Below are 12,442 nucleotides of genomic sequence, written 5' to 3' on the forward strand. Positions count from 1 at the left end.
AGCTTTTGAATAAACCTGCTTTTCCTCCCATTAACTCTCATCTCTTGAGCTTGGTTTTTCAGTGGCAAGCAGCGAAACCTGGGCTCAGTTACAAAGAGAAACTGTGATGAGTATGATTTGTATTCCCCTTCCTCCGTGAACCTGAATGTGGGCTATTCTAAGGGAGATTAATGTTACAGTTAAATAATTCATTGATAGAGATGTGTCTCTATCATAAATATTTAAAATTATTATTAGTTTTTGTTCTGGTTGCTTTTTGTAACATAAAGCTCACATAATAAAAACAGTTTGGGTGGATATGCACTAGCCAAAACTAGTTGTTTAACTTTTATTGGAAGCTTTGCAGAGATCGGGAGCAGAGTTGATTGACTCTTTCTTATGGTAAGTAACCATGCCCTCATGGAAACTTCTTCCCTGAGGGTGGGTTGAGCTAGTGACTTACTTCTAATAAATACAATATGACAAAAGTGATTATGTTTCTTCCAAGGTGAGGTTACAAAAGTCTCTGGGTTCCATCTTGTGCTCTGTGGTTCTCTTCCTTGCCCATTGAAATGGAGGCAGCTGTGTGTTGTGAGCTGCCCTGTGGGGGCTCCTGTGTGGCCAGGAGCTGAGAAGGGTCTCTGTGAACAGCCGGGAGGACAGGCCCCACGGTGATGGTGTATGTGTGGCTGAATCCTGCCAACAGCCATGTAGGTGAACCCGAAAGCAGTTCCTTCCTCAGTCTTTAGATGAGGCCACAGTCCTAGCAGATGATTTGATTGCAAATTTGCACAAAATCTTGAGGCAGAAGCACCCAGCTACATGTCATGGCCAGATTCCTAAAGCACAGAGATGTTTGTTGTTTTAATTCACTAAGTTTAGGATAATTTGTTATACAGTATTTGATAAAGATAAAAACAAAAACAAAAACAAAAACATTTCTCCATCCTGAACTTTTAAGAAACATCCAGTTAAGTACCTAAGGGTAAAGTGGCCTGATGGCTCCAACTGACTCTCAAATAGTCAGAAAAAATAATATGCACATGTACGAAAAGACACGAAGAGAGATGGACTGAGGAGGCAAACAGGTCAAAATGTAAACAACTGCTGTGCAAAGGTGAAGGGCAGTGGGAGACATTCACACTATTCTTACAACCCTTCAACCTACCTCAAAATGAAAAATTACCCATAAGCCTGAGCAAAAAGATCAGTTTAAGAAGGAATGAGTTAAAAATGGCAAAAATGGAGATCAGAAAATATGTATGAACAAACAAAACTACAAAAACAAGTAGTTTTTGCCAGGTCTGACCCACAGACTCTGGCAGAGTGACGGATGAAAAAATGTCCACAGACACAGGTTTTTTAGTCTGGTCACATGGCTAGGGGACCAGGCCACTCACAGACACCAAGGGGGTGCCATAAGGAGTCACAGCAGCTGCAGAGCTGACAAGCTGGCCCTGTGGGCATTTATTTAGTACAGATTTAATGACAAAGGCTTTGAGTCAACACAACTTGTGGGTAATTAACGTGGTTGCTGCACCCCACCCTCAATGCCCTCAGAGAGAGCAGTCCTGGGTGCAGATGATTAAAGGCCAGGTTCTGAGGCCTAAGTAAACTAACTTATCTAGATTAATTCCCCTACACTTACTTATCTACGTTTTGTTCTCAGCCTCTGGATAAGAGAACTTGGCTGCCTTCAGCCAAATTATCTTTCAAAGCTTTTGCAAAACCTCCTGGCCTTCCAAGAAGGTTTGCATCTTTTCCTATAATTTCTTCCTATAATTTATTCTACCACCCTGACCCAACTCCTACAAGCTTTTATTTCCTCTTTAGATGTGTGCATGGAATCATGTTGGTCAACTTATCAAAGTTATAGGATGTTGAAAACACTGCCATCATCTCATCCAGGGTAACAATATCTACTAAAAAAGAAGCCTGGCCAGGCATGGTGGCTCACGTCTGTAATCCCAGCATTTTGAGAGAGGCAGAGGCAGGCGGATTGCTTGAGCCCATGAGTTTGAGACTAGCCTGGGCAACATGTGAAACAAAGAGAAAGAGAAAGAAACCCAATTGACATAAATAAAGAAAAATCATAGAAGACATAAGCATTAGGCAGTATTATGTTATAAACTGAGTTATTAGTTTTAGTTTGGAAAATCTAAAATAGTCCTGGTTCAATGGCTTCTTTGTTGAACAGACCATTGTTATGAGCCATAATGTGTTCATCTTTTTACCCCTATCTATAGAATTCCAAAGACAGCTTTCCTCTTTGTGATGTTTTGGAAACACGTCACATTGGGAATGTTTATTTCTACTGGTGAACAAATTTGTATAACTTATTAGAGAAACAATTTGGTAATATATATAAAAAGCTTTAAAATATGGCTTTTGATTTATTATTTTAGAAATCTGTCTGGACACCTTAAGTGCTACAAGAAAACTGAAGCACAAACAGGTTTATAAGGGTGAAAATTTCAAATAATCCATATATACAAAACCAAGAAATGGTTTAGCAAACAGAGGAAAACGGAAAATCATGCAATAGTTAAAATTATGTTTATGGATAATTTTTTAAACAGGAAAAAGATAAAATTTTAAAAGTAATATATAAAATGTATTGCACAATATAATTGTAATCACCTTAATTTGTAAAAAGACTTTAGGAAACATCATGTTTTTCTTTATACTATGATATATTTCCAAATCAGCCTGTCAAAGAATGATAGACACATATATATACTAAGAATATACAATAATACATAACACTCCACTATCTAGTAGGAAAAGTGACAATGGCTTATCTGATATTTTCTTTAATAATTAAGACAAGAAGAAGTTGTGTTAAAAAGTATTTGGTAAACTATAGACAATTTGCTAAAGTAAGCACCAGAGAAAAATTGAAAAGAGAGTTTTTGTTGTCATTTTTAAAGAATATGTGTTCATGCCAAAATTCTAAAGCAACTACCTAGTGTTCGTTTTTTAAAGGGTATTTATAAATGGTCTAGAGAGAGATATTTTATTTTTATATTCTTAGAGTACAGCACACATGTGAAATAGAATCAAAATAATATCAAGCTAGTTGTTTTGTGAAAAAAATTGTATCTGCATGTGGGTAGGCTTTGAATAACGTCTTGATAAGATTTTTACAGCAGAAATAACATTTAAAGTCATCTAAAATATCAACATTTTCCCCTAAAGCCATTTGTATCCCAGAAATTTAACCAACAGCGAATCTTCAGAAGGCGATTTAGCACACAAGATCACCTTCGCTCTATTGTGCAGTATTGTTTGGGTGGTAAAGGAGAAGCCTGACAGTGCTGGATAACATCCAGAATAACAAGACCAAGACTTTGGTGACACAACTACTCCTGGTCCTTGCACAAAACCGTAAAGTCAGTGGTTTTCCACCACAGGCAATTCTGCCTATCTTAGAACATGCGGCAATGACCAGAGCTGGGGCATCTGGTGGCTGGACTGCCATTTGTAATCTCACAGACACCTCTCAGCACACAGAAAAGCCCCCACCACAAAGAACTGTTCTCTTTCAAATGTTGGTTGTACTGAGGTTGAGAAATCCCATATTAAATAAAACTTCAAAATACCCCTTTTATTCTTTTCTACTAGTACATACTCCCTAACTTCAGCCCCCAGATTTTAGGCGTATGTATCAATCACTTAAGGGGAAAAAGATCACCAGATTTCTCCATTAACTTATGTTCTTTGTGTCATTTCAAAGCACACATGTGTCAACAATCACAAAATAGCAACCTGATTAGAAAATGGGCAAACAGCTTGAATAGACAATTTTCCAAAGATGACCTAAAACTGGCCAACAAACCACATTAAAAGATGCTCAACATCACTAATTATTAGAGAAATGCAAATCACAACCACAATGAGATACTACGTCACACTCATTAGTACCGTGTCTGGAAATGGTGGGTTCTTGGTCTCACCGACTTCAAGAATGAAGTTGCAGACCCTCGCCGTGAGTGTTACAGTTCTTAAAGACAGCATATCCAGAGCTTGTTCCTTCTGATGTTCGGACCTGTTCAAAGGTTCTTCCTTCTGGTGGGTTTGTGGTCTTGCTAGCTTCAGGAGTAAAGCTGCAGACCTTCCCATTAAGTGTTACAGCTCTTAAGGCGGCCCCTCTGGAGTTGTTTGCTCTGCCCGTCTGAAGTTGTTCATTCCTCCCAGCGGGGGTGGGTTTGTGGTTTGAAGCTGCAGACCTTCACAGTGAGTGTTACAGCCCGTAAAGGTAAAGCACACCTAAAAAGTGAGCAGCAGCAAGATTTATTGCAAAGAACAAAACTTCCAGGAAAGGACTGCAGCAGGTTACCTCTACTAGCTGGGGCAGCCTGCTTTTATTCCCTTATCTGGCCCCACCCACATCCTGCTGATTGGTCCATTTTACAGAAAGCTGATTGGTCCATTTTACAGAGAGCTAATTGGTCCGTCTTGACAGGGTGCTGATTGGTGCGTTTACAAACCTTGAGCTAGACTCAGAGTGCTAATTGGTGCATTTACGATCCTCTAGCTAGACATAAAAGTTCTCCAAGTCCTCACCAGATTAGCTAGATACAGAGTGCTAATTGGTGCATCCAGAAACTCGAGCTAGACACAGAGTGCTGATTGGTGCATTTACAATCCTCTACCTAGACATAAAAGTTCTCCAAGTCCCCACCGGACTCAGGAACCCAGCTGGTTTCGCCTGGTGGTTCCCGTGCCTGGGCCGCTGGCAGAGCTGCCCGCCAGTTCCCAGCCATGCGCCCAGCACTCCTCAGCCTTTGGGCGGTTGATGAGAGCAGGCGCCACGGAGCAGGGGGCGGTGCCCGTTGGGGAGGCTTCGGCAGCGCGGGAGCCCACGGTGGGGCGGGGGGTGTCAGGCATGGCAGACCACAGTTCTAGAGCCCTGCCCCGCAGGGAGGTGGCTGAGACCCGCAAGAATTTGAGCGTGGTGCGGGAGGGCCGGCAGTGCTGGGGGACCCAGTGCACCCTCTGCAGCTGCAGGCCCAGATGCTAAGCCCCTCACTGCCCGGGCTGGCGGTGCTGGCTGGCCACTCCCAGTGTGGGGCCCGCCGAGCCTGTGCCCACCTCCCACCAGCACTGTGCACAGCCCTGGTTCCCGCCTGCGCCTCTCCCTCCACACCTCAAGGCAAGCAGAGGGAGCCGGCTCTGGCCTCTGCCAGCCCAGAGAGGGGCTTCCACAGTGCAGCAGCGGGCTGAAGGGCTCCTCAATCGCGGCCAGAGTGGAGGCCCAGGCCGAGGAGGCACTGAGAGCCAGCAAGGGCTGCTAGCATGTTGTCACCTCTCAGTATGGCCATTATCAAAATAACAGAAGGTGCTATATGATTCCACTAATATGAGGTATCTCAAGTAGTCAAAGTTGTAGAAACAGAAAATAGAGAGGTGAAGGGCTGGGGGGTTGGGAAAAGAAAAGGAATTAGTTCTTAGTGGGCATAAAGTTTCACTTCTGCAAAATGAAAAAGTCTAGGTACCTGTTGCACAACAGTGTAAATATACTTGACAGTGCCAACCTGTTCACTTGAAAAGTTTAAAATGATAAAGTTCATGTTATATGATTGTGACTACCATTAAAAATAAAATAAAAAATTTAAAAGCACATGTATGCTTGCCAACTTTGGGACATAATTACCCAGAATAGTAGAAGCTTTATGACATCAGGTTAAAAAAATAATAGCGAAACTGAGGGTCCTCTGGTTTCCGTCCCAGGACTGCCCTCATCAGTTTCAAGTTGCTACCTGCATTGCCCGGTGACAGCCACTCGTCTTTCTGTTCCACTGCACTTGTTTCTTTTTCTTTCTTTCTTTCTTTTTTTTTTTTTTTTTAAGACAGAGTCTCCTGGGTTCAAGCAATTCTCCTGCCTCAGCCTCCCAAGTAGCTGGGACTACAGGCACACACCACCACACCTGGCTAATTTTTGTGTTTTTAGTAGAGACAGGGTTTTACCATGTTGGTCAGGCTGGTCTCAAACTCCTGACCTCGTGATCCACCCCTCTTGGCCTCCCAAAGTGCTGGGATTACAGTTATGAGCCACTGCGCCTGGCCTACTGCACCCATTTCTATCGGCCTCCTCCCCAATCCCCATCCCATACCCTGATCAGCCACTGCTACGCTGCCGTAACTGATAGAGGCAAAGTCACTCGATGAGGGCAGACAGCTGTGTACTCTGCCAGGCTACCCAGGGGAAAGTTGGGTGGGCTTGAGGATGGAGCGTAGTGGCCAGATCTGTGATTGGTGAAGATATTAGAGAACTAAGCTGGAGAGAATTTGTGTTGTTGTAACTATGATGGAAGAAAAATAAAGAAAATTCGGCATGTTTTCTTGGCCAGGGACTAACACAGAAAGAAGAACACATATCTAACACCTCCCTTTAAATTTTTTAATGCACCTTCCTTCCCTGTGAAGAAACCCGGTGATCTATTATAGAACGAGATTTGCTGGAGGCCACCTGGCTGCTGTCAATGGGGCAGTCAAGTCTTCCCAAATCTGAAAACTGCGCTTTTTACATGTTACCACACCAAGGGTCTTTAGCCCTTTGAACACCTTAGCAAGTTCTCCATTTTAACCTAATGGTGCAAAACCAGGGAGGATGCCGTGATGTTAACACTTTTACCACAGAGTATGTTGCAGCCGACGTCTGTTCATTCCGTGGTGAAGCTTGGGGTTTTCCAGTTCTCGGTCCACGAAAATTAGCTGTAAAGGTTTTCTTGCTTGTGGAGGCAGCCGCAGGCCATGTCCGACTTGTCAGCCAGACACAGAAACTAACTTGCACCTCATCCGGCAGCGCTGTGTGGGGCACCCTCCAGTCTGTTTTCGGCCCTGAAACCCGTTAGTCATCCCTGCATTTTTGCCAGTCCTTTGTGGGCCAGCAGAGGCCTGTGAAGAATTTAAATCCTTAACCGTGCATACTAATGCCTGGAGGCTTCCAGAAGCCCCGTCCAGCTGCGTCTCACCCGGAGCCCAAGGCAACTATAAACAGGCCACAGAGGCAAAGTTCTGCTGCTCAAAATTACAGCTCCTCCCGGGGACACTATTTCCCTTCTGAAAACATCTGGCTCCCAACGTTTTCTAGCTTTGAGGGAGGCAAAGAGAGGGTTATTTTAGAAAATTTTTGTAACTTTCCAGTTTTACATGGTCTTGGCCCTTCTGTGGCCTGTATAGACATTTTCCCATAACTAAGAACATACCATAAGCCTGAGGAGAAGGTCGCTTTTTATAAAAAAAAAAAAAGTCACTAAGCCTCCAAAAGTATCTTGTTTCTTGCTAGCTCACAACCTGTGTTTAACGGATAACAAAACACATAGAAATTAATTCTTAACCATTGCCCCTGTGGGTGTTTCGTTTGGCTCTGGGTACACAGGGAAGGGAGAGCTGGGCAAAGATGGAGCCGGCGGTTCCTGGACCACCAAACCAAGCACGCTGGAGACCACATCTGCCAAAAGTGTCCCCGTCACACTACAGCAGGAGCAGTGTCTTCCCGGGTTAGGGAGCTTGAAAAGGAAGAACCTTCTGTTGTCGACATGGGCAAATGTGTGACTGTAAATGTCCCAGGAGCCTGTATTGTTATTGTTTGTTATTGCCTGTCTCTGTGATATTGCACTGCACGTCACACGCTCCTTTAATCAGTCTAGAGGCTACATGTTTAGAACTTTACAAATCATCTAGTGCAGAAACAATAATGAAAACCGAACCCAAACCTCAGAATTCTTTTTTAAAAAAATCAATGTTAACATTCTTTCTACACTAAGACCATGTACCTGTATTTTCCCACACACGCGTTCAGTTTGTGATCATATGTGTGACATGTTTTCCTTCATTCTGATCATAGTTTAGGAATATATTCGGGTATGTAATTTATTTCACTTTCTATTATAAGCATGTTAATGTGTTGCTACATAATCAACATTTTATTTTGATTATTGAACAATACCCTAAAGCTTGACTGCAAGACTTACATTTACTACTGTTGTTTGATATTTTTATCACTGCAATAAACACCTTTTATTATAGTTTTCTCCTTCTCTTTAGATTATTTTTTTGAGATACATTTTCATATGTCCATATATTTAGGCAAGTAATATTAGAGACAGGTATTGTGTTTTTACTAACTACTGTTTACTTGGAAGGCTTGAAATAGTGTGAGTTGAACCATCCTCATTCCTGAGTTAGAGGAAAAACTGTCCCCCAAGGTATCTGTGTCTTCACACATTCTTTACCCTTCGCAACTCTTAGTGGCACCATGTCTCTCCGGTGAAAGGGCAAAGGCCCTCTGTCTCTCCTCTCAAAGCACCCCCACCCATGCTGGTCCTTCCCCACAGCCGTCTGCTTCCAAGCTCCTTGCTGCATTCCTTGTGAGGGGAAATGGCCCCTGCAGGGTAAAGGCACGATGCTTTGCAAATAATAAACCAAAAAATCACCTCTGACTTGGGTCAAGCAATTTGACAATGCTAAGAATAAATGATGCACTTTTCAGAGCCTCCTGTTAATCATCGGGAACCTTTCTGGGCTCAGGGTCGGCCCTCACTGCAGTTCCTGCAGGAGTTACTGGCCAGGCCCAACCAGGCACCAGCTCTCCTCTAACTTCTTGACTCAGCTCTCAGAGGCTGGTCAGAAAGGCACGACCTTCCCCCAGAACCACCTTCCCAGGCTCCACGACTGGAGCAAATCAGATCCCACTTTCCTAGGAGAGTCTCCTAAAGGCCTGGAACGTGGCCCAGGCCTTCTTTAAAGTGTTTTGCCCCAGAGAGGAGTGTTTTTGCTTCTACCTGGTACCAATCTTTCCATTCTAGAATTAGGGCTTGCTGGGCCACAGAGACAGCATGAATTGAACCCCAAATCAAAGCACTGAGTTGAGGAAGACTCTGGAGTGATATTTTTGGTCTCATTTCCCCTCCACCAGAATTCAAACAGAGTGATTATCCTGAGGGTCTGTCCCCTTTTCTCATGCTGTAATTGTCCCCTTTGCAGGACTCAAACTTACAAAGGCCATTTCCACCGCCCTCAGGTGAAACCTATGAACCCCCATGCCTCGGCCACATTTTCCTTCTGGGAAAATCACAGCCTCAGCCAATCAAGGCTGCCTGTTCTTACAGATTCATACCTCTAAGACTCACCTTATTTTTCTACTTACACAGTCATAAATTTTAAAATGTTCTGTTTGTTTTTATTTTCCTGGCACTTTCTGTGCTGGGAGGGCTTCCCTAGTTCACAGGTTCGCCATGTTGCCAGAACGTGGGGCCCTCTCTCTTGTTCATTGTTCATTGTTATTAAGGACGTATGGTAGTTCTCAGCCAGTGTAGTGTCCTCTCTGTCTTCTCTGTGTTTCAGTGAAACACAAATCCAGACTCGCTTAAGCAGAGAGTTTACCTGAAGTTCTCATTTTGAGAGAGGGAGGGGACTTCATGACACAGGGTGAATGCTCTGACCCCAAAGAACTTCAAGCATCTCAGGCAGAAAAGCACTTTTGTTTTAGGAGGAGGGAGTAACCAAGCCTAGAACACCTGGGTGAGGCATGGAGGGGCCCGTGGCGCAGTGGACAGTGGGCAGGAAATGGGTCAGCCCACTGGGAAGAGATGGAGGGGAGGGTGGGGTCCCCATCGCAGCATTCATGGGTGGGCTTGGCCGAGAGGAGAAGCTGAGTCGAAGTTCGGCTAACAAGTATTTTTTTAAGATAGATCAGTGGAGTCAAAGCAGTTCAGCTACACATCTGTGGGACAAAAATGGGAATGCAGAGGGTCTGATTCTGGCCCTGTCACTGGTGAGTCTTGTCTGTGTCATGTGGGGAAGGTGGTTCTTTTCAGTGGCTGCTGGAGCTCAAAGTTGTGGGAGGGTGGCTCTTAACTTGCCCTCTTTTCCCCATCACAGGGCAGGGGAAAGTCCGATGTTGGCAGTAGTTACTGAAACAGATTTTTGTCCCTGGTGGATTTCATTTGGTGTCCAGAGTTTAACTGTTACGGAGTTCTCTATGCTACAATTTTGTTGAGTTCATATTTCAGGGGCCCTGCTGCTGTGTACGGTGGCCTTCAGCCAGGACGTGTCTTGGCCCTGGCCGTGAGAGCCATCTGGGCTGGGTGAGGCTGTGCCCACCTCAGAGGTGGGGCCAAGGACCTCTGTCTTCTCTGGTGGAAAGAGCCCTTCTCAGGGTCTAAACAGAAACATGGGAGCTTTTGTGAAACCATTATAATCTCCTGGGAACAGAAGCTTAAGGGTTTTAGTCTCTTGATTTTTAGTATTAAGGAGTTTGGGATTGTATGCATACATCAAAACTCAGTCTTTCTTGGCTATATATTTTATAGCTTTAAAACTCCTATATTAAATAACCCTTCCAATACTGCTACAAATTAAAAACCTGGACCAAGTGGACCTCAACTAACTACTGCAGCCACCCCTGCTGGGGGCAAGCCAGAGCCCACTAAAACAGGACATTTGGCTACATTTACAGGGCTGTTTAAATGATTTGAAGCAACAGATGTGTATATTGACTTGGAAGGTTTTGCAGGAAACTGTGTTTCAGTACTTAAATAGCATACTGTAAGGGCTGACCTTGATCCAAGGGGTCACAAATGTCACCTCGTTGGGAGGTGTCTTTTCCAGGATCTACGTTATAATTATGATCTCCTTGGAAGCACCAGGGGAGAAATTCCAGATGGTTTTGCAAGGATAAAGTGAGAGCAAATGAACATCCAGGTTATGTATTCTTACTCTATTAATTTCTACTTGAACTCATTTTTAATGTGTTTTTACTAATATTAAGAAAATAAGCCATGATATAAAGTGTTGGAAAGGAAAACCCTGACTGCACACCCCAGCCCCGTAACAGAACACAGAAACGCGCAGGGCCTTTTCCCTTCTGTCTGCCTTTCCGGCCTCTGGACACAGAAACGCGCGGGGCCTTTTCCCTTCTGTCTGCCTTTCCGGCCTCTTGACATGGAAACACGCGGAGCGTTTTCCCTTCTGTCTTCCTTTCCGGCCTGTTGACATGGAAACGCGCGGAGCCTTTTCCCTTCTGTCTGCCTTTCCGGCCTGTTGACGTGGAAACGCGCGGGGCCTTTTCCCTTCTGTCTGCCTTTCCGGCCTGTTGACGTGGAGACGCGCGGGGCCTTTTCCCTTCTGTCTGCCTTTCCGGCCTGTTGACGTGGAGACGCGCGGGGCCTTTTCCCTTCTGTCTGCCTTTCCGGCCTGTTGACGTGGAGACGCGCGGGGCGTTTTCCCTTCTGTCTGCCTTTCCGGCCTGTTGACGTGGAGACGCGCGGGGCCTTTTCCCTTCTGTCTGCCTTTCCGGCCTGTTGACGTGGAGACGCGCGGGGCCTTTTCCCTTCTGTCTGCCTTTCCGGCCTGTTGACGTGGAGACGCGCGGGGCCTTTTCCCTTCTGTCTGCCTTTCCGGCCTGTTGACGTGGAGACGCGCGGGGCCTTTTCCCTTCTGTCTGCCTTTCCGGCCTGTTGACGTGGAGACGCGCGGGGCCTTTTCCCTTCTGTCTGCCTTTCCGGCCTGTTGACGTGGAGACGCGCGGGGCGTTTTCCCTTCTGTCTGCCTTTCCGGCCTGTTGACGTGGAGACGCGCGGGGCGTTTTCCCTTCTGTCTGCCTTTCCGGCCTGTTGACGTGGAGACGCGCGGGGCCTTTTCCCTTCTGTCTGCCTTTCCGGCCTGTTGACGTGGAGACGCGCGGGGCCTTTTCCCTTCTGTCTGCCTTTCCGGCCTGTTGACGTGGAGACGCGCGGGGCCTTTTCCCTTCTGTCTGCCTTTCCGGCCTGTTGACGTGGAGACGCGCGGGGCCTTTTCCCTTCTGTCTGCCTTTCCGGCCTGTTGACGTGGAGACGCGCGGGGCCTTTTCCCTTCTGTCTGCCTTTCCGGCCTGTTGACGTGGAGACGCGCGGGGCCTTTTCCCTTCTGTCTGCCTTTCCGGCCTGTTGACACGGAGACGCGCGGGGCCTTTTCCCTTCTGTCTTCCTTTCCGGCCTCTTGACGTAGTCTACTTTTACTCAGCTCCTGTCATAGTGCTTGTAAGGTCGTGTATCCTAAATTTTCTCTAAATGATATATCATAAGCACTTTTCTATGTTGTCATTTAGTTGTAGTAATCAACATTTTAATGACTAAGTGATATTTCAGAGCATTTCAACATTCCTGAATAAAATGATAATATGGCCGTAAAAACAATGAGGTTGTACCACAATAGAAGAAATATAACTCTAGTCTTTAAGAAAGAAACGTTACTACCTGTGTGGCTAACAGTTGCTGGCTTTTCTCTATGTTTCTCATACTTTGGAATGAATTAGCTCTAGAATAAAGTCAGCATATTGTGTGTCTGAGTCCTGAACTTCTGGCTGGTGGACACAGATCTCTGTTGTATGCAGCCTTCTTGCTGGCCAAGTAGATCAGCACAGAGACACTGAGCTCACTCTGGCTTTCTCTGTTCTCCAGCCTGGCCCCCTGCATTC

General features: G+C 45.3%; 1 long non-coding RNA gene across 1 annotated transcript in view, besides 1 other annotated feature; it reads right to left on the reverse strand.

Moving 5' to 3' along the window:
* Positions 1–3,939, reverse strand: part of LOC105373324 (uncharacterized) — a 29,821-nt gene extending 25,882 nt beyond the window's left edge. The window contains exon 1 of the long non-coding RNA XR_922689.3: positions 3,904–3,939. This is a non-coding gene — a long non-coding RNA (uncharacterized LOC105373324). The remainder of the gene's footprint in view (positions 1–3,903) is intronic.
* Positions 10,997–12,196: an enhancer, noted in NCBI's record as "MED14-independent group 3 enhancer chr2:197602-198801 (GRCh37/hg19 assembly coordinates)". NCBI's record gives its function as "activates an origin of replication core promoter dependent on BRD2, BRD4, P300/CBP and CDK7 cofactors, and independent of MED14, by STARR-seq in HCT116 cells {active_cell/tissue: HCT116}" and the evidence as "EXISTENCE:reporter gene assay evidence [ECO:0000049][PMID:35650434]".

Source organism: Homo sapiens, chromosome 2 (genome assembly GCF_000001405.40).
Source record: "Homo sapiens chromosome 2, GRCh38.p14 Primary Assembly".
In the NCBI taxonomy this organism is placed as follows: Eukaryota; Metazoa; Chordata; class Mammalia; order Primates; family Hominidae; genus Homo; species Homo sapiens.